This window comes from Homo sapiens, chromosome 21 (assembly GCF_000001405.40).
Source record: "Homo sapiens chromosome 21, GRCh38.p14 Primary Assembly".
Taxonomy (NCBI): domain Eukaryota; kingdom Metazoa; phylum Chordata; class Mammalia; order Primates; family Hominidae; genus Homo; species Homo sapiens.
Genome location: NC_000021.9, coordinates 34697523 through 34722766, shown reverse-complemented (window position 1 = coordinate 34722766; position 25244 = coordinate 34697523). Strand labels below are relative to the sequence as shown.

The 25244-nt window shown below is 46.6% G+C and overlaps 1 protein-coding gene across 2 annotated transcripts in view; it reads right to left on the bottom strand.

The window, feature by feature from the left end:
• Window positions 1-4543: 4543 nt before the first annotated feature.
• Window positions 4544-25244, bottom strand: part of CLIC6 (chloride intracellular channel 6) — a 49230-nt gene continuing 28529 nt past the window's right edge. The window contains exons 2-7 of one of the 2 annotated variants that reach the window (NM_001317009.2): window positions 16687-16740; window positions 15378-15487; window positions 14698-14823; window positions 13961-14067; window positions 13229-13410; window positions 4544-6446 (exon numbers count right to left, since the gene is read on the bottom strand). In NM_001317009.2, coding sequence (NP_001303938.1) covers window positions 6285-6446; window positions 13229-13410; window positions 13961-14067; window positions 14698-14823; window positions 15378-15487; window positions 16687-16740 — 741 coding nt within the window. In that variant the 3' untranslated portion in view covers window positions 4544-6284. The remainder of the gene's footprint in view (window positions 6447-13228; window positions 13411-13960; window positions 14068-14697; window positions 14824-15377; window positions 15488-16686; window positions 16741-25244) is intronic. The other variant, NM_053277.3, reaches the window with a different exon arrangement.

The following is a 25244-nucleotide window of genomic DNA, read 5'->3' as shown; positions in this document are numbered from 1 at the left end:
TGAAAACAGTGTCTCCAAGCCAGACTAGAGGGCTCCCAGATAGAGCTGTCAGCCCACTGTGGAGGCTGTCCAGTTCACTGTGCCTGACAGACAGCTGGACCTGCCCTGGACAGCCCCCAGTGACCGGCCGAGGGGGACAACTGAGTAATGACCAATATCACAGGGTGCTGCCTTGTTGTAGGGAGCCAGGAATTCAGAGCATAACCGCCTTCTGCCTCTGTGAGGAAGGTTCAAGGTCTTAGACACTCGTAAACTCAAACCCTGTCCATTTTGACAAATTACGTTTTTTAGGGCTGTTACCCCATAAGAAGAACAAATTCCAGAAAAATTAAATTGTATACAGTCAGCTGCTTTGCAGCTTTTATAGAGAACTTCTAAGATACCACCTTCTACATGATTGTGAGATATTGTTCCAATTTTCCAGATGAGAAGAGTGAGACTGAGAGGTTAAATGTTCATTCAGATATGCCAGAGGTGGGCCGGGTGTGATGGCTCATGCCTGTAATCCTAGCACTTTGGGAGGCTGAGGCAGGGGTGGGGGATCACCTCAGGTTAGGAGTTCCAGATCAGCCAGGCCAACAATGAGAAACCCCGTCTCTACTAAAAATACAAAATCAGCCAGTGTGGTGGTGAGTGCCTATAATCCCAGCTACTTGGGAGGCTGAGGCAGGAGAATCACTTGAACTTGGGAGGCAGAGGTTGCAGTGAGCTGAGATCGCATCATTGCACTCCAGCCTGGGAAACAGAGCAAGAGTCCATCTACACAGCTCACTGTGGACTCCATCTCCCAGGCTCCAACAATCCTCCTGCCTCAACCTCCTGAATAGCTGGGACTACAGACAGGCACCACTCCACCCAGCTAATTTTTTTTAGTTTTAGTAGAGACAAGGCCTTGCTATGTTGCCCAGGCTGATCTCAAACTCTTGAGTTCAAGCAATCCTCCCACCTCAGCCTCTCAAAGTGCTGGGATTATAGGCAGGCGCCATCCTGCCCGGCTAATTTGTTTTAATTTTAGTAAAGACAAGGTCTCGCTATGTGGTCCAAGCTGGCCTCAAGCTCTTGAGTTCAAGCAATCCTCCTACCTCAGCATCCCAAAGTGTTGGTATTATGGGTGTGAGCCACTGCACCCGGCAGAACTTGTTACATCTTAACGCCAGGAAGGAAAAAGCAAGCAGGAAAACAAAAACCTTAATGCTATTTGAATACATCCCCTTTAACAAAACCAAGAAGCATTCTAAGCAAGGACGGTTCTGTCCCCGGGCCCTGGAATTCTCCTGGAACCTGGGTAGATCCAAAAGATTTAAAGAGCCTCAGAATGTCCTAGCAGGTGCTGGTTACATGTGTAGGTCAGAGCTTCAGAAACAGACCTAACTCAGACTCGCAAGTGTCAGCCACCTGGAAAGAGGCCTTTGCAGGGAGACAGAGCCCAGCAGATCGGCTGAACCATGGGGAATCCTAGGCCAGCCACTGATGGCTACTGTCCTTGTCCACTCACCCAGGAGTACATCACAGAATCCACTACAGAAGGGGATCGAGGAAGAGATGGGAGAGGGAGGTGTCATCAAGAAAAATAGTTTCTCTTCCAGAATGTTGTTAGGACAAGCTTACAGAGCCAGGGGCCATGGGAGCCAGAACAATAGGGTAGGACTGAACAATAGGGTAGGCAGTCCCACAAAAGGGTAAAATGAATACAGGTTGGATAAGATCCCATTGGTGGCCCGATCCCAGGCCTTATAACCTAAGTAAATGGCTTCCTCCTCCCAAATATGCAGCTCCATGCTGCTGAACACAATTTCCTCTGGACCATGACTTGACCCGCCACTTCCCCAGGCAGCTTTCGACTCTGCCTGCCTAAATGGCCTCCTTCAAGGCAAGGCTCATAGAGGACTCCACCAGAACCCTCTGCAATGGGAACAATGACCGTGTCAATCCACCAGCTGCAATGGCAGGTGCCACTCCTGCTGGGTCCCTGAGATCCCAGAAGCAGAAAGGGCTTCCTGACACCCCAGACCTGCAAAGGCCCTGAGGAACAGTGTAGTCAGTCCCTTTGTGACCAGAGGCCACACACATCCCTTACAAAGTGGCCATGGCCTGAAATGCATGTAATTTATTAAACCAAAATACCAATGTGTGAAGGGAAATTGGCCACAGGATAATTGAGACTTACACCCATATATGGAAAGAGAAGTCATTTTGTCATGTGAATAGCATCCCCCAATGCATCCATTTCATGTATGTAGGGCTTTGTTAATTATGTGTGCTTAGAATGAAGGACATCTTGGTTCTCTTAACTGTAAAATAAAAGAAGGGTTGAGATTTTCTTGTAAAAAAAAAATTTTTTTAATGCCTGCTGGACATGGTGGCTCATGCCTGTAATCCCAGCACTTTGGGAGGCCACAGCGCATGGATTGCTTGAGCTCAGGAGTTTGAGACCAGCCTGGGCAACATGGTGAGACCCTGTCTCTACTAAAAATGCAAAAAAAAAAAAAAAAATAGCTAGGCGTGGTGGTGTGTGTCTGTGGTCCCAGCTACTCAGGAGTCTGAGGTGGGAGGATTGCTTGAGCCTGTGGTGGTGGGTACTGGGGATGGGGTGCAGAGATGCAGTGAGCCGAAATCACGCCACTGCACTCCAGTCTGGGCGACAGAGTGAGACCCAGTCTCAAAAAAAATTAAAATGTAAAAAAAAAAGCCATTAATCTAAAATTTTCCAAAGCCTAATTATGAACCACTGGAAGGGGGAACTTCAGGGCAGGGTGGGTTGTGCTAAGAGTGAGTTACTGCTTACGACTGGGGGAGGGTGAGAGGGGAAGGAGTTCATCCTGCATGCGGGGTGGGGGTGGAGGGTGTGCATGAATGTCTGTCTGTGGGAGTGTGCTTATGAGTATGTGAGAGTGTGTGACAATGGTGTCACAAATTGGTGTATACACGTATGTGTGTCTAGTGTGTGTGTGTGTCTGTCTGTCCGCCTATCTTGGGGGTGAAGGGCTTGAACATATAATCAATTCTTAGAGATAGACTTATAGAATGGAAATGATTGAGACCTCTGGTCTCTGGAAGTCCTCTTCTGGGCGGATTCTGTCATTGCATTTCCGTATGCTGCAGTATCCACAAAGTAGAACCTTGTGATGCTCTCATGTTCCCTTCCAGCCTGCTTTAGGACATTCTGTGTTCTTAAGGAAAGTTTGGAGGCCGGGCGTGGTGGCTCACACCTGTAATCCCAGCACTTTGGGAGGCGAGGCAAGTGGATCGCCTGAGCTCAGGAGTTTGAGACCAGCCTTGGCAGCACGGTGAAACCCCATCTCTACTAAAAACAAAAAAATTAGCCTGATGTGGTGCCCTGTAATCCCAGCTACTTGGGAGGCTGAGGCAGGAAAATCGCTTGAACCTGGGAGGCAGAGGTTGCAGTGAGCCAAGATCGAGCTACTGCACTCCAGCTTGGGCGACAAAGCGAGACTCCATCTCAATTAAATAAAAAAAAAGGTAAAGTTTGGGTTTTTATGAACTAATTTTCAAGCCTCTCGGGCAACTAGAATTGAGAATGGAATCCTCTCCGTCCAGAAAAACTTCCACACAGCCTGAAAAGAAGAATTTGTTCATTATTCGTCCATGTTTACATTTTGTATGGTATCTCTTGAAGAACAAATGCATTTTGTTTTTTAAAACACACTGTAATGAAGATTTTGGTCCAGCAGAACAGCTCTGGAATATTTCTTACCTCCTTACACACATGTAGGTTTTTAGGAGAATCAAGAGGTGTGGGCTGGGGGCGGAGCTGAAGGCAGAGTTGGGACAGGGCTGGGGAAGACCACCCAGAACCAGCTCCTTTCCTACAACTCCACGTAAAAGTAGAACAAGAACACCCAGCAGGGTGTCGATGCCAGTCACCTGGACAAGGACTGTTCATGGGTGTCTTTGGAGGCCTCTTTAAGGTTCCTTTAAAATGTCTTTGTGATTCACAACTGAAGTATGGATTGTCTCTAATTCAAATGCCCATAATCTCAGGTTCAAACTTGCTCTCACCATTATTTTATTTTATTTTATTTTATTTTATTTTATTTTATTTTATTTTATTTTATTTTGTTTTTCATTTCATTTCATTTCATTTCATTTCATTTCATTTCATTTCATTTCATTTTGAGACAGGGTCTCACTCTGTTGCCCAGGCTAGAGTGCAGTGGTGTGATCTCAGGTCACTGCAACCTCCACCTCCCAGGCTCGAGGTATCCTCCCACCTCAGCCTCCCTAGTAGCTAGGACTACAGGTGCCCACCACCATGCCTAGCTAATTTTTGTATTTTTAGTAGAGATGGGGTTTCACCAGGTTGGCCAGGCTGGTCTTGAACTCCTGACCTCAGGTGATCTGCCTGTCTCGGCCTCCCAAAGTGCTGGGATTACAGACATGAGCCACTATGCCGGTATGCCAGGCCTGTCCTCACCATTTTAAAAGAAGCCCATACCATTCATTTTATTTCTTGAAACCTAAATGGAGAATGGGGAATGCAAAAAATAATAAAAAATAAAAAATAAAACCCAAAAGAAATTGGTTCCATTTAAACATTTTTATAATTTGTTTCATTTTCAAGGCACAAAGAGTTTATGTCAATCATTTTAATGTCTAAGAATACAAAGTTAGCACTAGTAACATCTGGTAGTCTAATCATTTATCATGCTTAAATGTAACATTACAAAACTACATTTTAAAATCTGCCCCCTAACCAGATGTGAAACAACGTGGACAAGGGTGACATGTGCTAGACCCAATCTCCAAAAACGTATGGTTGACAAAGACAGCTGACTGCTGGGGTAAAACTGCAGCAGTCATAATCGAAGAGCGAAAGAGGCCACTCTATTAAAGACTTTGTTTCTTTTGCTAGACATTTTTCACCTAATCCCAGGATAGTTTCTGTTAATGCATCTTACTCTCTTTCAAACGAATCGTCCCTAGAGCAGGTGTACACATTAAAAATGAGCTTTATAGCATCAAACACATACCACAACCAACTCTACAAGGAGGGTTTTCTGTAAGATGTGTACGACTGTCCGAAGAACACATTCTGGCTGATAAGTCTCAGCTCCTGTGAGGTCCTGATGAGTATCTAAACAACCTCACATTTTCTCTTCCACGCCTAGGGTTAAGGCCAGCACTCAGCCCACACACAAAGCTGTGATGAGAGGTTGGTTAGGGATGGTGGAGGCAAAGCCACAGATCAGCCAGAAACTCTTTTGAGTCAATAGTTTCTACTCCCTCCCTAACTGGACCGTTTACCAGAACTGCCCAGGACTTGTCACCATGAATTTAATCTCCCTGGATTTTCCCTGCTTGATGTCTAGATGAGACAATGAAGGGCAGAGAAGTATTGCTATCCCCACACGATACCACCAGCACTGAGGGACTGCAGCCTTGGGTCTCAGAGAGAGCCGCCCGGAGAAGGAACCAAAGTGTGCTTGGTTCACATTTCAGGGCAGGGAGGTTCTCCAAGTTGCAGCAGATATTAAGAGTCCTGCTGAAGGCACAGTCTCTAAGAGAGGGGAGGGAGCAAAGACAGGAAGCTGGAACCAGAGACACGGATAAGCACCCTCCCCCTTGCCTTTCCTGGAAGCAGAGGCAGTGGCATCCTGGAGGCAGAAATGAGGCAGAGTGGGGGTGACCCAGGGCTTCCGGTTCCTGCTGGTCATTGCGTGCGCATCTGTGGGCTTCACAATTCCCCACTCCTTAAAATCTAACCTCAAGCATCTTCTCTGGCACTGCGGTGCCCAATATTTTTGTATGGTGTAAGTCCTCTGTGTATGATCATCCAGGAATCACCAAGAGGTCCCCTCACCAGTGCTTTAAAATAAAATAATGCAATACCATATATGAATGAAATTGTGTGTGTGTGTGTGTGTGTGTGTGTGTGTGTGTGTGATAGAGAGAGAGAGAGAGAGAGAGAGAGAGAACAAGATACTGAAGATTTGGAACATGTTCTCCAGTAAGTTTTCGGTAATTAAGTGGAGTAAAATTGAAGGCGATTGTTAAAATGTCCTTCTTTACACCCTCTGATATTGCTTTAAAATATCAAGATAGGTGTGTCTCATTTTGTAATTACAAAGCAGTATTTTCATTTTGAAGAAAATTAAACTAATGTTTTAGAGAAGAAAAACAGGCTCTCAATGATTTAAAAAACTCTCAGAGACCAGTTTTTTAAAAATTGAAGGAATTGAACCCAAACCTAATTTGTTTTCAAACACACTGTTTTCGTATCCTTGCTCACTCAACTGAGAAATAAGACAGAAAACAGCCCAGCTTCATTTCATTCTTTTTGCAACATCTGAATATGCGTGTTCAATCTCTTGATCAGCTGGACACGTATTTGTGAACTCATCTCTAGCATAAGCATTATTCAAGTATCTCCAGATGCCAGTCATTTCAGAAGGAAATTCAAAATCTCTGTACTTCTTGGCCACAATCTGAAAATGAAGAGAAAATGATCAGTAAAGGGAAAACTTGCTAAGGTAGGCTCCCAAGTCAGACAGTCCATTCTTCTGAGGCATGCAATACATTCTTTCCCAGTTTCCCATGTCATCCCACAGTCATCCGGGCTACCCACCACGGCATCTTGACTTGCATAGGGCCATCTTGGGTGTGAGGAGGGCTATGAAGTTCCTGTACTCACTACAGTGACTGCACATAGTTCTGCCCACCAGTTTGTCACAGATGGGTCTTGGAATCCGCTGGCACGAGTATGCTCTGGACTCTGGTGGATTTCTCTTTGTGTTGCCTGTTACTTTCTTTCCATATGTTGTGCTACTGTGTTACTTGGTGCTATGTGAATAAAGACGCATGGTGGATCTGCTGTTTAAATGGTGCCCTCTCTTCTTCCTACTTGCTGAACCTCACTTCTCCAGTCCCAAACATCTGTGCATGTTAATCCTCCTGAATGCCATCATGCTGCCACTAAGAGCATCGTCTGATCGTGGGGCCCGCCTGTGCGGAGGAGAGATTCATGAACAAAGCAGATGCAAATCCCTACCCTCATGGGGATGGTGGGTGTAAGGAAGAAGCAGTCGAGAGACAGCACCAAGAGAAACACAGCAGTGTGAGATACTTCCTCTAGCAAGAGGGGTACAGTTGGGGAATTAGTCACAAAGATGTGCAGAACACTGGGGACTGTACCAGTTTGCTAGGGTTGCCATAATAAAGTAACACATGCTGGGAGGCTTAGAACAACAGAAGTTTACTGATTCCTAGTTCTGGGGGCCAGAAGTCCAAGATCAGGGTATCAGCAGGGTCATGGATCCTCTGAAGGCATTAGGGAAGGCTCTCTCTCCACTTCTGGCAGTGCCTTGGCTGTGCAAGCATAACTCCATCTTCACAGAGCCTTCTCCCTGTGTCTCTCTTTCCAAATTTCCCCAGTTTGCAACGATACTGGCCATCCTGGATTAGGTCCATCTCACTCCACGATGACTTTATTTTAACTAATTACATCTGCAAAGATCCTATTTTTAAATAAGGTCACATTCTGAGCTACTGGGGGTTAGGATCTCAACACAGGAATTGGGAGGAGGGCACAATTCAACCTGAAGTGGAGACCCAGAGCCATAAAGGCCAGTTGGGCTTTGCTGCCTCCTGTCCCACTGGTTCCCAGGATGTCTGCATGATGCAGGCATGGGGTTAATGAGAAGATCTTTGGGGCTTACTGCGCAGACTTTGGAGGCCAGCAGTCATTGATGCAATGTGACAGCAAAGAAGGACCATATAATTTTCAGAGAGCCTCCTAAATTGTTTGACACCTCTTCCTTGAATGCCAACTTCTTGATGCTCATGTTAAGAAGTCCGTTTTACTTTTGTTTGTATGTACCTGGTTTTTCTTTGCCCATCTTTTTATTTTAACATTCCTGAGTACATTGTTTAAGGCCATGCCTATGAACGTGACACTGAACTTGGTTTTCTTTCTTCTGTATGCATGTGTGTGTCCCTCTTTCTGGTCATTTAAAAGGTTTATGGTCATGTTAATTCTCCAGTGGTTTCCTACATAAATTTAAATATATAGGAATTCTCTATTTCTTGATTTATCAAGTTTTTTTTTTTTTTTTTTGTTTTTTTGAGACAGTCTCGCTCTGTCACCCAGGCTGGAGTACAGTGGAGGATCTCGGCTCACTGCAACCTCCACCTCCCAGGTTCAAGCGATTTTCCTCCCTCAGCCTCCCGAGTAGCTGGGATTACAGGTGTGCACCACCATACCTAGCTAATTTTTGTCTTTTTAGTAGAGACGGGGTTTCACCATTTTGCCCAGGCTGATCTCGAACTCCTGGCCTCAAGTGATCCACCCGCCTCAGCCACCCAAAGTTCTGGAATTACAGGTGTGAGCCACTGCACCCGGCCTTGATTTACTAATTTTAGATGCTGCCTGTTAACTCCTGATGATGACAAATGAGGGAATTTATGTATCTGTGCTTCTTTCCATTTCTTCTGTATTATCCTCCTTCCAATGGTGGTAATGACATAGTTTATTATATTCTGACTCTATTCTGTCCGTATAATTCCCACTGCTGTTTGGTCTTAGGACTAGTTTCAGATTTAAAGGGGTTCTCTGTTTAGGGCCTGTTCTTTTATTTCACACACCTTCTCTGTTTCTGGATTCTTACTTTGATTATGATTTTGTTATTTCATCATAGAACAATTTTATGTTTTTTAAAAAAGAGACCAGAGGTCTAGGTCAAAACGGTAATTGCCTAGATATAAAATTCTTACCTCATACATCATTTTCTTTAATTCTCTGTAGATGTTAAACCACAATTTTCTGATTTTTAATGGGTTCATGAAGACATCTGGGGCCAGTCTGAATTTCTTCCCTGTTTCACTGGCTTTACTCTATTTCATTCTTTTTATTATTATTACTGTTGTTGGTATTACAGTATTATTATTGTCTAGGTGCCAAAAAGGGTTGTTTTTTATTCTCAAAGCTCAGTAATGTATCAAGTATGTCTCAGTGTGTTGATCTTTCTGGGGCAATGTTTAACATGGCATGTCATTTAAACTGAAGATTCAGGTCATCCTTTAGTTCAAAGTAATTTCCCCATTGAACATTCTCTCGTTTTCTTTTATTTTTTTTTCCTTTCCTTTTCCTTTTCTGTTCTCTTGTTCCTGATCATGTATATCTGGGATCTCTCTAATCACCTTTTTTATTCTTCCCCACTTGATTTTAGATGATTTTTCTCAGGCTTGTCTTCCAAATCACTGACAGCACGGCTACAAACACATTCCACATGCCAAAACCAACTCTATAAGATGTGTGCGAATGTCAGAGGAAATCAATTTCAGCAATGTCTTCGTCTGTGTCTTACTGCTTCTAACAGGACTTTTATTTCTGCAGTTCTTTTATTTGTCTTTACTTTTCTTCTTGAGCTCTTCCAGCCTGATTTCCATCCCCTTTGTGATAATATATTTTTGAACATCTTGTGTCTTGTCTTTGAGATTTTTCTCAAAAAGCCCATATTCTCTTTCATTTCTTTGAGGCTGTAGAAAAATTTCTGTAAGAAACGTTCTTTAATGTGCTGGAGGAGCAGTTCTTGATCATATATGTATTTCCCATCTGTCTTTTTCTGTTTTTGTTTCTTGTCTTTATCATTCCTCCCCCCACCCCCTTCTTTTCAATCAACTCTGTCTACCCCAAGGTCTCACTGGCATTCTCTCTGGTATTGGCCTTCTTTGAATGAGGCAGATCTACTGGACCTATCATTTGCTTAAAAGCAGTGGGGAGGGCAAAGGGAGTGAGACAGGGCAGGTGGCCAACCAACTGGAATATTTGCTCCCAAGCACCTTGTCGCCAACCACTGCTCTGCCCCAGAGAGACACATTAGAGTTGGGGTTAGGGCTGGGGTTAGGGTTAGAGTTACGGTTAGGGTTAGGGTTAGGGTTAGGGTTAGGGTTAGGGTTAGGGCATCCTCCACTCTGAGGCTCACAGATTAGGCAGAAGGCCACTGTGGCTAGAAACGAAGTTTGGGCAATTCTAGTCTCTCTCTTGACTGGCTGGGGCCTAGATTCTTTTCTCTGCTCAGCAGTCACAATGCAAAATGCCACTTCCCTCCTTTCCTCCCTCTTTACCTCCCCTCCAGACTGTTCCTCTGGATTAGGTGCTGGGTCACAGCCTAGAAAGATGGCGTCTCTGTGTGGCTCCTCCTTCAATTCTGCCTCCCTAGAGATCTCAGCTCAACAAGGGTCTCTATAGGGAAGTTCTGTGATTCCCTCCTGGCCCATCTCATGCTCTAGGCCTCAAGCAAAGAAGTTTGAGTTGGGTATTTCAGGACTGTGTTCTTTACCTTTTGAGAAATCTGAACTTTGCTAAAGATACGGAGAAACATGTAATGGTTCTGTGGCTCCTCCCACTGAAAGAAGCTTCCTACTCTTTAAGTCGATGATCTGTCATCCCTTTGTAGTTTTACAAAAAAGATGAAGCTAATACCCTATTTTGATATTGTTTTTGCTGGGTTTCTGGCAGGGGAATAAATTATAAATCCCTTCACACTCTCATCTTTTACCATAATTCCCTTAGATTGATTCTCATTTCCTTTCAGAAGTACTCCATCCTGGAAGATCATTAAGCTGTTGGGTATTGTGAGTGCTAAATGGCCTTGCAGATTTTTCTTCTGGGTCTTATAGTGGAGCCATGAACTGCAATCTCACTCTAAAGCTTACCCTTTCTACTGAAATTTAAAATCGTCTTTTCTCATGGGAGCTAAACAAGGGGCCATGAATGCTCTGTGGCTGGGATATTTCTCCCCCTCTTCTTCAAGTTTCATGTGTTTCTGCAATGCTACGCTGGTCACAGTAGGGACTAAAAAGCATTTACCAAAAGGGACTCAATCAAAACACAGCTACATAAATATCCTGTTAGAAGGCAGCTCCCAAATTTAGCAGGTTTTGAGGGGTGGAGATGCTTTCATTAAATTTTGGATATTGGTGGACTGGCAAAGCTATTGAAAAGACATCTGCCCAAGGGATCAGCAACCTCCTGAAGGCCTGCATTTCAAGTCAGTATCCTCACGCACAAAAAGGAAGGGAGAAGAAGGGAGCAACAGGGCCAGGACCGAGAGGGGAAGAGGATAGAAAGAAGAAATGCAGGAAGACAAAGGCAAAAGAATGAAGCAGAGTCACCAGGGGTGGCCGGGAGCCCACAGGAGCCTCAGCACCATAGACTGTGTGAAGCTAACATGTAATTTATTTATTTATTTATTTATTTATTTATTTATTTATTTATTTGTTTGTTTATTTGACAGAGTCTTGCTCTGTTGCCCAGGCTGGAGTGAGTGCTCACTGCAACCTCCGCCTCCTGGGTTCAAATGATTCTCGTGCCTCAGCCTCCCAAATGCATGGGACTACAGGCGCACACCACCACACCTAGCTAATTTTTTTATTTTTTGTAGAGATAGGGTTTCTCCATGTTGGCCAGGCTGGTCTCAAACTCCTGGCCTCAAGTGATCTGCCCATCTTGGCCTCCCAAAGTGCTGGGATTACAGGCATGAGCCACTGCGCCTGGCCGCTACCTTGTAATTTCTAAATGCTAACTAAATGTGTTATTAGAACAAACAGTCCATGACTTATTTTTCCTGGTGTTTCTCCCATCTCCCCTACACTTATACCAACCACCTGGCTCTGGCCCTGGCAGGATTTTAATCATAAAAATGCCCCAGAGCCAGGCATGGGCTTCTTCCTGAGGTATCTGGAGCTGCTAAGGGCCAAGGACATAGCAATCTCATCACAGCAATCACATTCAACTTCTATAAGTGATAGAGCGGCTGGGAGCGCTGCTGTGCTGAGAGACAGCAACAGCTACAGAGTCCGAGTGTGGGGATATCCGCTTGGAGCTCCAGGGGTCACTCTTGGAAGCTCCGATTTACTAGCGCAGGCAGTGGGTCGGGGACTTACATTTCTTGTTTTTTTGGGGTTTTTGTTTGTTTGTTTTTTGTTTTTTTTCTGAGACGGAGTCTTGCTCTGTCACCCAAGCTGGAGTTCAGTGGTGTGATCTTGGCTCACTGCAATGTCTGCCTCCCGGGTTCAAGCGATTCTCCTGCCTCAGCCCCCCAGGTAGCTGGGAGTACAGGTGCCCGCCACCACACCTGGCTAATTTTTTGTATTTTTAGTAGATAGGGAGTTTCACCATGTTAGCCAGGATGGTCTCGATCTCCTGACTTCGTGACCTGCCCGCCTTGGCCTCCCAAAGTGCTGGGATTACAGGCGTGAGCCGCCATGCCTGGCCCGGGGACTCACATTTCTAAAAAGCTCCCCAGACAGTTTGTATGCCTACTAACATTGGAGAACCACGGGTCTGGCAGGTCTTTAAGCCCTAATAATACATGACTCATGGCTCTTAAATCATGTTCAGCTACTATATGGGAAGGCAGGGCAACAAATATGGCAGAGACTCAGCCAAAAGCTGCCAGCTGCTTCCTGGATGTTGAGGGTCAATGTTTTTTTAAAATAAATAAATAATTAATAACCTAATTGTTTTTAGAGATGGGGTCTCACTCTGTCACCCAGGCCAGAGTGCAGTGCCACCTCCTTAACTTGCTGCAGCCTCAGGTTCCTGGGCTCAAGTGATCCTCCAGCTTCAGCCTCCCATGTGGCTGGGACTACAGGCACACACCACCATGCCCAGCTAATTTTTTTTTTTTATTTTTTGTATAGATGGGGTCTCGCTATGTTGCCCTGGCTGGTCTTGAACTCCTGGCCTCAAGCAATCCTCCCACCTCAGCCTCCCAAATCACTGGGATTACAGGCATGAGCCACTGCACCTGGCCAAGGGTCACTGTTAAAAGCTAATAGAACACTCCTCTGTCATCCCTAGAAGGGGCCATGTGGAGCCCTACAATCACCAACAGTAGACTGCGTTCACATTTGAATAGCCCCAGATTCTACGAGCCTCATCTCTAATTCTCAATTGCTAACACCAGGTATAATCTACGAAATTCCTCAGGCTGCTTTCACATAACCTGTCTTTAGGCTGTGTGAGTAAGGCTGAGAGAGAAGCAGAAGGTGGGGCCATGTTCCCAGGCACTTTCTGAGAACACCCGAAGCCCATCTTCTGTGTGTGTGAAAGCTGGGGCTTGGCTGCCCCGAACAGAACTAGTGTTTTTAATCCAAGTCTCCACATTTCAGACTGTTTAAATGTCTGGCCCAAACACAAGTAAAAACAAAATAAAACAAAGCCCCGTTCGTGTACTCGGCACACGTGTCGGGAGGGAAGATGAACCTTAATAATATGGAGCTTGGGTAAGAGGTTGCAGTCAGCCAGCGTCAGCTCGTCCCCATCCAGAAACTTCCTTCCAGAAACAGTGACATCCTCGGTGCTGTAGGCATCTATTTCATCAGGCAGAGGGCTATTTAAGTAATTATCCAGCTTCCTCAGGGCCTTCAGCAGGTTCTTTTCATGAACTAAAACAGAAGGGCAAGAAATCACAAAGAGAGGTTTGCAAGTGCATGTCACTTTTCACCAGCTGTGATGGAGTTTGCTTCCCTTCCTCGCTGAGATGTGGCCAGCAAGCAATGGGTGCTGGGAAGGCAGCAGGTGGATGTAGAATATCTGAATAAAGGGCTCACTCCTCCCTGGAAAATCACACTGCTGTCTACACAATATTGCTCCTTCTAGAAGTGATTTATTTATTCAAAAATACTTATGGAAAGCCTGTGGGGAGACGTGGACTGGCAGAAACATCATTGAACATGATTCCCATGGTGTGTCCGGAACACCTGGGTGATGACTATTTTCCCTAAAAATGTTGTTTTCTGAGTTCCCAGCCTCAAAAGAAGCATTCATCTCTTGAAGCCCACGTGCAGATTCAAAGTTGGAGGCACTTTTTCTGTAGCTCCAGACTCACTTCTCTACCCACTGGGAAATAGATGGGAATACCCCAGGAGCGTATGGGCCGCCATGCTAAGACTCAAGTCTGTGTTGAAACAAAACAGGAGGATGGGAGGTACTCACTCTCATTTGCATCCTTCTTCGTGTTTTTTATAAACGCTGAGAATTTGGCAAACACGTCATTTCCTGCGGAATTAGATTCGGGATGTTGGGTCCCCAGCTTGGGATACCTTGAAAAGTTCAAAATTGGAGGATCACAGACAAGTGATGTTTTAGTGAAGATAATACTATACAATGGAGAAAAACAGCTTTCTCTGGGCATAAAAATGAAAAGCTTTCCTTCAACGTTTTCCTGACCCTTTTCCTCTCAAAGGTTGGGAAGTAACAACATCTAGGAGAATGGCACTGGACGGAGAGGTTTGGATTGTTGCTGTTTCCTGGCAGTGGCCAGTTCTGGGACACAGGACCCCACCTGGCCTTGCTGGTCTCAGGTGCTTCCCTAGTAAAACGAAGGGGATGGAGTAGAAATAGCTCCCCCGAGGTCCAAAAATCCATGATACTTCTTCCTAACACATACTCCATAGCTTCCAGCAGGGTGTCTAGGATACAGCCAACCACCCACCCTGGACCCATCTCCTCCCACTTCCTGCCATCAAACTGTGATTGCCAAGCTGCAGGTGCAGCACAATGAAACCCAGGTCCCCGAACTCTAATCTGGTTACACCAGGGTTATGATTAAGGAAGTGAGCACCGTGGGCTGCAGAAAACCACACACACACACACTGCCCAGAGCTTTAGAACTGACTACTAGTGGGGGAAAGTGACAATCAAGTTATGAACACTGGTTTTCTGAGGCCTACCTCGGGGGAGCTAATTTCTCCTCTAAGAACTCCTCGATCTTATTCACATCCGTCTTGACTTCACCATCAAAAGTCATGAAAGGAGGGTTTGTTCCGGGAGCCAGGTTCTGCAGGTCTGCGGGTTTCCTAGGTGGGAGGAAACAGCAGTGTTTATGGGCCACCGTGAGAATCTGGACTCATTTCCAGGGCTTAGCCGCGTCCTCACCAGTTTAAGAGAAGCAACTCTTGAGAACTGCAAAGTAGATGGTGGGTTTATGAAAATGTCTTGCTGGCGATGAAAGTAAAGGCATTCATTAACAAATGATGGGCTTGTTGAGGTGCCCCTTTGTGAATACGGAGCACAAAGGGGCATATCAACAAACAGAGGTGAAAAAGTTAACTCTCCCCAGTGTTATCAGCCAGGGATGGTGCTCAGACAGGCTTGGGAGAGTCACAGCTGACCAGCAACTGGAGAAGCAGGTTCTTCACGGCACCCCCAACTCCTCCTCCTTCCTGACTCCAGCCCAGCCGACCCTGTCATGACTGCTTGGCCCACATGTGGGCTTCAGTTCAGACTCCGACTGAGGATGGACGTGCCCATGCAGCACCGTTGGCCTCAGGTGTGTGTGTGTGTGTGTGTGTGTGTGTGTGTGCAGAGAACTAGGTACAGTTATTTCAGTAAGGCAGACGCCTTGTCTTACCTTTTCAGGTCCACTGTGGTCACATTAAATATAACGCCTTTCAGCCAGAGAATCATAAAGAGACGCTGAGAAAACGGGCAATTTCCGATACTCTCACCATCATAACCAGCCTACAAGTGGAGAAGGAGATTTCTATCTGAGCCAGTCTCACAATTATAAGTGCCAACACCACAACATGCACATGCAAAATCATTGCAGGTTGATAAGAACGGTCAGGATGCTGCGAATATCCTCCTGAGGCCATTTTACCAGCCTCAATGTGGAGTTGGCGGTGGATGTAGGGGTTAGGGGAGAGAACACCACACACGCACGCACATGCACATGTATGCACTGCACTGAGCATTTTCTTTCTTCCTTCCCCACCACCTCACCACTGCCTGCCACACTGGGCCTCTGAGCAGCAGCTCACTGATGGAAGGAGCAGCAATGGGAACTCCCTTTATCACCAATGTGAAAAAGAAAGACACGCCCTTTCCTTCCCTCTATCTCTCGATCCTCTCCAAGGATCAACTATTCTTAGCAGCTTTGGTATAATAGCTAAAACCTGGAAACAACCCAGATACTATCAAGAGTAGAATACTTGTGTCAGTGTAGTATTTCCATGCCTTGAGATACTACACCACAATGGAAAAGAATTAGCTATTATACAAGCAACAGTGTGGGTGCATCTCACACACACAATGTTGAGAGAAAGACACCAGACTCAAAGCTTCCTGCATGATTCAGGGTAGGTAGAGGGCAAACTTGTCTATGATGGTGGAAGTCAACAGCAGATGTCCCTGGAAGATACTATTGTCTCAGAAGGACAAAAGGAAGGCTTCTGGGTGGTGGCAATGTTGTTCTATGTCTTGATCTGCACGGTGGCTACACGGGTGTATGTGAGTGATAAAAGTCTTAAGGTTTGGGTACTTTACTGAATATAAGTGATATGGTTTGTATATTTGTCCCAGCCCCAATCTCATGTTGAATTGTAATCCCCAGTATTGGAGGCAGGGCCTGACGGGAAGTGATTGGGTCGGGGGGTGGATTTCTCATGAATGGTTTAGAACCATCCCCTTGCTGCTGCCCTTTCGATAGTCAGTGAGTTCTTGCAAGATTGACAAGATTGAGCTGTTGAAAAGTACGTGGCACTTCCCTCTCTCTTGCTCCTGCTCTGGCCATGTGACGTGCCTGCTCCCCCTTTGCCCTCCTCCACGACTGTGAGCTTTGTGAGGCTGCCCCAGAAGCTGAGCAGATGCCAGCACCATGCTTCCTACAAAGCCTGCAGCATTTGAGCCAATTCAGCCTCTTTTCTTTATAAATTACCCACTCTCAGGTATTTCTTTATAGCAATGCGAGAACAGCCTAATGCAGTAAGTTTTACCTAAATACAAAAGAAAAGAATGTTAAAATAGTAATTTAAAAAATATACAGAGTTTGATTCAGTGGGTCCTGCTGCATGGGGCCTAGGAATGTGAATTTTTAACATGTTCCTCCAAAGTGATACAATGCCAGTGGTCAGAAACCATGCTGTGAGAAGTTCAGCCTTAGTCCAATCTCGGGCAAGAGATAAGGCTGATGCTACCAGCATTATTGTCAATGTGTAAGACAAAACAATGTGAACCCCCAATTGGATGATCCATTGATAAGAAGACTTGCAGGATGATATCACTTTCCAGGTGATAAATACAGCTCCATAAACACAGAGTTAATAGGTGACCTTACTGCATATGAAGGGGCACCAATAGACCCAGATTACTGAATTCAGAGTCCCTAAGCTCTGGGCCTGTGCGTCACATCCTCTCCCACTCTCCCCTCCCCACGCCAGCATTAATTTCCTCTCTGCCTATTAGAGGGGAGGGTCTGAGAATCTCTCCAGGTATCTTGAAGTTGCTGGGAGCCTGAAGGGTGGAAGGTGGACAGTTATGACACATACATCCAAGTGGTCACAACAAGTCCCGGCAGATGGGCCCTGAAAAGCATCCCCTCGTCCACCTGAGGCTGTTCCCCACCTTGGGGTCCCACCACCCTATGGCCATTTCGAAGGCCACCCCCATCTCCTCCTCACTCCCTGTTCTGGAGCAAGTGGAAGTGCAGAGCTGAGTCAGAGAAAACTCCCAGTGGCTGATGACCTGGGAACCCTCTTAAACCGTGGAACTTTCTTAACTACTGCAGGTTTGAGCAGTCAAGCCAAGCAAAGGCGGAGCGGGGAGAAGAAAGTGCAAGGACGCATGTTTTGGCCAGTCCCGACTTGCTCTGCAGCTTGTAAACCTCTCATTTTTATAGTAGTTACATGAAGCACAGCAAAGTCTAAAATAAGTTCTGCGAAGTGGGGCAACTGTGTTCGTTTTTTCTCCCGTCTCTCTAACTTTTGGAACCCTCTTATAACTCACTGTGTATGTGGCAAATCTCTCCTGAGTGTGTGTGTCCCGTTCCAGTGAGGGGCATCTTGTTCAAGCACCCCTAGACAAAGCTCTGCCTCTGGAATGGACCCTTCTTGCAGTGGCCTCTTTCCACCGTGGCATCTGCAGAATAATTATATTGCACGGGGCTCTCCGCCTGCTCGGTCTCTGGTCTCAAACTCAAGTTAGTGATTTCCCTTGAAATTGTTTTTCTTGCTATTTCCTGAACTCTGGCAGCTACTTCTTTAGGGGGAATAAAGCCGGTAGGAGCAATAAATTTTTCAAAAAATAAAAACTGCCTTAGTCAGCCAACTCAGTAAAAACTTAAACTTCTTAACAGGCTCCTTCTCGGATCTGCCACTGGAATGGAACATCTGGCCAGAAACAGGATGGGACAATATCTGTTCGGCCACAGCTTAAGACACGGAAGAAAGTTGCAATTATACATTTCCCCCTTTGTGGCCTTAAAACCAAACTGTGTCCCGACCCAGCATGGCTAGTGAACCAAAGGCTGTTAGGCATTTAGAATTAGCCAGCAGCAGTGACTGCCAATAAAACAGAATTTACATATCCAGTATTGCCTCATCGCAAATTGCTCTAAAAAATTCCTTTCTGTCTCAGTCTGTTGTAAATGAGGGGGTTACGGGAACATGGTGGGAGTGACTGGGATGACTTGCTGCCTAATTTTATTACTTTAATGTGCTTCAGGGCCTGGATGTGCCAGCAAAAATAAAGGCGAAGATACGCCATCTCCATTGCCCATTATTGAGCAATAATGGGAGAGGATGGCCTTGGTCATATTCATTAGCCCGACAAGATGATGGGATAAAGACATATATTCCGAGGGAATAACTGACACTGTCGCCATAATTGGGACATTTTATCATACACAGCCTTCATTTTCCCCCAGTGCTGATAACTCTCTCAGGCTAAGTGCACTCTGGGCTAAAATTTCTCAGCAGGATTCTCAGCTTAGGAAGGAAATTTTTGTACATATACATTTCTGATCAAATCAAAGTAAGCAGTTTGAGAATGTAGAGTGTCTTGTTTCCAGCGAAGACTTAGGTGCTTGGATAACCCAGAATTGCATGTTTGCCTTTCGAATTCAACTTTGTTGAGTTCCTCCAAAGGTAATTCTCGAAAGAAAGAAACGGTGCCTCCAAAGCCTCTGACACCACATTCCGAAAAGCTCTCGGGATACCAGCCTCGTCATCTGAGAACCTGGGGATTCTGCTGGGTCCTGGCCTTGTGAACCTCCCTGTCTCAGGGCTCCCCACCAAGGTCCGAGTCGTATGGGTCCAAATGGCACCACGAGGTCACCAGTTCCTCCTCACCACACGCCCTCTCTAAATTACAGACTCTCCTGCCGGCTCTTTTCATGCTTACTCTACCCAAATTTAGAAAAAAGGCCTTTTTCTTAATTCCTTCTTTTTGTTCAGGCAAATGGCCTCTCCAGTGGTCTGGAGTTACATGTACAGGGCACCACCCACACAGCCACCTCCCACTAGACAGCTCTCTGCCCCACCACTGCCTTCAAAGGACCAAACACCTGGCATCCCGACGCAGACCTGACGGGGCGATGACTCCCCAAGACATTCCTGGCTGCTCCTCAACACCCCACACTCTCCTTCTCACCAGAGCAAGCCACCCCCTACCACCTTCTTGATTCTACCATCTTTCTAGAAAATTCTGTGTGGGCTTACATGGTGAACACGTTCCATCAAGTAAGCACTTTTCTCTACTCTGCCCAAATATAATGAAAAACAATTTGGAGGTGGTGGAGAGAAGATAAAGAGGCCACAAAGCGGTAATATTTTAATTGGGTATTTTCTGATAACTGGCTTTCAACCGAGGAGGCAGGAAATGCATCCGTGTGCAGGGAAGGATGCCAGTCCCTGCAGAAAACCAGGAGAAAGACATGGCGTCTGGTGGAGGGATCTGGGAGCAAGCAGCTGATTTGCCATCGCAGGATGTGGAGAGTGAGTGAGTGATAATGGGCCGCTCCATTCCAGCGTGCCAGGGGGACTTCAGGCTGAATAAAAACAGTAGGTGACCAGAGGAGGCCAGAGTCAGAGACAGAGTGAGGTGTGGGAGGCCAGAGAGTTGTCCTCAGAGGGGAACAAAGGGGCCAGAAGACCCAGCCAGGGCTCTCTCTGTTGGCAGCTGAACCAAACTGATGAAAAGCCAGAGAGAAAGAGTTAAGGCAGATCAGACGGGAGGTGACTCCCTCCTCCCAGTCCCACCCACACACTTCCCTGAATCCCTTCCCGGCCTTTTGCTGGATGCCCAGTGGCCTCACACACTTTGGACACTGGCAGTCAAGCATGCATTTCGTGGCCAAGCAGGAAGATCTTGGCCTTCAAGCCACACAGCCAGCCCTCCCCACCTCCGCTGCGCCTGCCCTGCCCATGGAGGCTGGGTGTCAGTCCCTGAAGCACAGGAAATTTCACTGCATGTACAACTGACGCTAGGGGGTTGACGTACGGGGTTGATGAACACCCCTCGTGGAATGTGTGAGTTGTAAACTCAACCCAGGAGAGCCTGAGGGATATTACTGTCAGCATCTGGCATATGGAATGGCGGGTGCTTGTGAAAGAGACACGCGGGAGCCCTGGCTGCTCGCCACGCCCCCAGCCTGCGCCCCCACGCCTCTGCATGGAGGCCTGATATTTGGATCAAGACAGGACCCAGAGATTGTCCCATCCCCTGCAGACGGTCCTGGGACACGGGCAGGTTTCAGCCCTATTGGGTCTTCCATTGCTTCCACGAGGAAAAGGTGGGGGAGCTGGGGTCTCTCTGCCCCTTTCTATGAGGGTTTCCGGAGTCAACAGCCCCCCATCTTCGGTCATCAGGGTGTTCCTAGAGCACAGGAAACGCTCACAAAATGACGGGGGCCTGAATCCAGTGGCTCCCATGCGCCTGGGGCCGGGTCCCCCGTAGAAAGTGCCTCACAGCTCCTCCCTGCTCATTCTTTCCTGGGCCAAAGTCCATGAGCTTTTTCCCTTCCAGAAGTTCACAAATTCTCACTACTAAGAGATCACCCACCGAGAGTCACATCTACGGGAGGAGGAGAAGAGGAGGTGGGAGAGAAAGTGAGAGGGCCTGAGTCACCCGCAGCAAGTCCGCCAGGCTGCCTTCTGTGCCCAGCCCCCAGTCTGATGGTTATAACTTAAAATGCAATATTTAAATTGATGAGACTTCTTGATTTTGAATAGTTCTGTAAATTAAAAAAAAATTATGAGTTTATCCATTTGCCTGAGGAGTTGAAATTTCCCTTTTCAGGCAACATCAGGTTTCTCCAAGGCAACATGGTGGACGGGAATGGGTGCTGGCGTTGGAGCCAGGGAGAGCTGTTGGAACCTTGGCCCCCTACTTACTAATTGTGTGGCCTCGGGCGATTCAGTTGTTCTCCCTGAGCCTCAGTTTCTCCCTTTTTTAAAAAAATAGGGATACATGCACCTACATCATGCAAGATCTGTGTGTGATACACTGGAATCCCTGGGCACCCAATAAAGGTAGCTATTATTGTCATTATCATCATCAACATCATCATCATTACTCTTCCAAACCTGAACACACCAGAGCAGACAATTACGGAGTGCAGGGTGCCTTTTAACGAGCCTCAATTAGTGAGATTTTTATGCCAAATTGTGCAGTCCTTAAAGAACCACTGATTTTTTTTTTTTTTTTTTTTTTTTTTGAGACGGAGCCTCGCTCTGTCGCCCAGGCCGGACTGCGGACTGCAGTGGCGCAATCTCGGCTCACTGCAAGCTCCGCTTCCCGGGTTCACGCCATTCTCCTGCCTCAGCCTCCCGAGTAGCTGGGACTACAGGCGCCCGCCACCGCGCCCGGCTAATTTTTTGTATTTTTAGTAGAGACGGGGTTTCACCTTGTTAGCCAGGATGGTCTCGATCTCCTGACCTCATGATCCACCCGCCTCGGCCTCACTGATTTTTTTTCTCCTAAAAAGTAACACATCCTATACCTACTCCAAGTGAAAATTAAAAACTTAAGTCCCTTTCTAAATTGCAAAGCAAACAGATCTTCAGCCAGGAGACAAAAAGGCAAAAATCCCTGGCCAGGCATTCGTATCTAGGAGCCAGACAAACCTCTTGTGAAAGGTCCAGAGAAGGGCTCACCTGGACGGCTGAGCACACCTTGACCCGTGGCGGAGGTGGCAAGCGTCCAGAGAACTGCTTCCTTTTCCAGAAATGACACCACAGTCCTCTGTAGCGGTGAAAAGGCTAAGGTCCCTTCTGACTGTTGGGGTCGGTGTTAAGAAAGCCTGAGCAGTGGGCGGCTGACTTTTCCTACCACCCCCTCGAAGAGAGGGAATTCCAAGGAATGGGAGGAGAACACAGCCACTCCCCATGACAGCTTGAAGTTCAACACCATGGGAATGCGGAAGCACGTGAAGAAGGGTTATAATGATACAGGAGTTAAAAAGAAATTATTTAGGCAGGTAGTGAGGTAAGGAAGTCCTCACTAAGGTTTCCCTTTTTATAAAAAGCAGCCTCCAAATCATTTCTCTTATTCTTTTCTTTTCTTTTTTTTTTTTTTTTGAGACGGAGTCTCGCTCTGTCGCCCAGGCTGGAGTGCGGTGGCGCGATCTCGGCTCACTGCAAGCTCCGCCTCCCGGGTTCACGCCATTCTCCTGCCTCAGCCTCCGGAGTAGCTGGGACCACAGGAGCCCGGCACCACGCACGGCTAATTTTTTGTATTTTTAGTAGAGACGGGGTTTCACCGTGTTAGCCAGGATGGTCTCTATCTCCTGACCTCGTGATCCGCCCTCCTCGGCCAAATCATTTCTTTTCTAACAAAAAGCAGCCTATAAAATCAAGCTGCAAACACGGATAAGCAAGCTGGAAGCTGACACCGGTGAATGCCGGCAGATGTGACAATAGGAAAAGGCCACCTGGGGGCCAGGTATGTTCAACATGGCGGCTCCATCTTCCCTTTGCTTTATCAACCACGTGTACAGTGAAGGAACAGGCAACGTGGCTCCAGCCGGCTTAAAAAAAGATTAGGGTGGGGTGGTAGCCAGCTTCTTCCTGCCCTATGTAAACATCATGCCCAGTCCTACCAATCTTTGGGCTCTATTTAAATCAAACACCACCTCCTCAAGCCAGTCTATAAAACCCCATGCACTTCACCACAGGAACAGAAGACCCACTGGGGTGCCCCTGTCTCTCTGCAGGAAGGAGAGCTATTCTTTTTTCTCTTTCTTTTGCCTATTAAACCTCCGTTCTTAACCTCACTTCACGTGTATCTGTGTCCTTGATTTCCTTGGCATGAGGCAACGAACCTCTAGTATTACGAACGATGCTGCTTCAATAACAAGATGCAGGAGGAACAAACTAGCCCATTCCTTTGCAGAACAGGAATTAAGGAGAATATCCTCCAAAAAGCAACAATTTCTAAGGTGACTTTAAAAACAGATAATAGGTCAGGTGTGGTGGCTCACACCTGTAATCTCAGCACTTTGGGAAGGCCGAGGTGGGCAGATTGCTTGAGCTCAAGAGTTCAAGACCACCCTGGGCAACATGGTGAAAGCCTGTCTCTACCAAAAATTAAAAAAAAAAAAAAAAAAAAAGCCAGGTATGGTGACATGCGCCTGTAGTCCCAGATCCTTGTGAGGCTGAGGTGGGAGAATTGCTTGAGCCCAGGAGGTCGAAGCTACAGTGAGCTGAGATTTCCCCACTGCACTCCAGCCTGGGTGTCAGAGGGAGATCCTGTCTCAAAAACAAAACAAAACAAAACAAAACATGACAGCTACCATTCACTGACTACCTACTCTGACTTCAGGTAAGGTTCTAAATCATTTGTGGATGTTGTTGAATTTAATCCTCTTAAAATCGTGTAAGACATGTCCTATTATTCATCCCATTTTATAAACAAGGAAACTGAACTTCAGAGATGCTAAATAACCTGGCCAAAGATGCAAATAGACTTCAAAGAATAAAGTGCGCTCTCTCTCTCGCTCTCCTCTCTCCACTCAATGGCCCCACTGTTTTTCCTGGTGCTCAAGATGGAAACTGGACTCTTCCCTACCCTTTACCTGATCATCAGTCTCTTGCCCAGCACAGCGTTTCTGCTTTTGAAGCCACTCTTGCCGGGTCTCAGAGCCTCGGGCCTGGGGGGTCTCTCTGGCTGGAATTCCTAACCCGTATCCTGGACAAGGTTAACCCTGATAAGATGCCATTTTCCTTAGGTCATTCTGCTGGAATGTTATTAAAATGCAAATTGGAATCACAGTGCTCCCAGGCAGTGTGACCACTGGCAAGTCACCTGACCTTCTAGTGTCTTGTCTTTCTTCATGTACAATGAAAGCATAATAGTACCTACCTCTTAGTGCTGGATAAGAATTAAATGAGATGGTACACATACGACGCCTAGAACAATGCCTGACACAACACTTAGGACCTTGGATAATCTGCTCTCCTTCCTTCCATCCTCCCTTCCGTCTGTCTTTCTCTTTCATTCCTTGCTTCCTTCCTTCCTTCCTCTTTCCTTCCTTCCTCCCTTCTGTCTTTCTCTTTCCTTTCTTCCTTCCATCCCTTTCCTTCCCTTCCCTATCTCCCTCCCTCCCTTCCTTCCTCCTTCATTCCTTTTGTCTCTTTCCTTCCTTCCTTCTGTCCTTCCTTCCTTCCTTTAGCACCCAATTGGTTACTAATTGTTTCCTGTAGGTGACATTCCTTCAGAGCAGGACAGTGTCAGCCTCCCTACAGAACAAGTGCTAATGCCTCCTTGTGGCGTGGCCCATGTGAATTTTCTTCCCACTCCCCATGGAAGCACAGGGCCAGGACCACGGAAGGTACCCCATGAAAACTCACATCATGGAGCACATGACCACTGTCCTCACAGGTCTATGAGACTCCTCATTACAGGCAGCTCCTACAGAGACAATGAAACCCTGTCCTCACAGGCCTATGAGATTCCTCATCACAGTGAGCTCCTATAGAGACAGCGAAACCCTGTCCTCACAGGCCTATGAGATTCCTTATCACAGTGAGCTCCTATAGAGACAGCGAAACCCTGTCCTCACAGGCCTATGAGATTCCTCATCACAGTGAGCTCCTATAAAGACAGCAAAACCCTGTCCTCACAGGCCTATGAGATTCCTCATCACAGGCAGCCAGAGACAGCAAAACCACTCCTCCTGAAGGAGAGCCTTGGCAGGCCCCGCAGTTCTCCTGGCCTCAACTATCCCCAAATGTCTCCCCAGCTTGCCTGTCAGGGGCTCCTTTCTCCACCCACCCAAAATGACAATCACTGCGTGACCAACTCACCCTGGTTTGCCCAGGACTGTCCTGATTTTAAAACTGAAAATCCCACCATCTCCCCCTAAGTCCTGGGCAAGCTGGGATTATTGGTCACCCTATTGTCTGCCCAGATAAAAGCCTTATTTTTAGATGGGGAAATACCATTGTTGATGTTTTCCTCACCAAGAAGCAGGCCTTTGCTCCTCGCTAATGAAAACACCAGC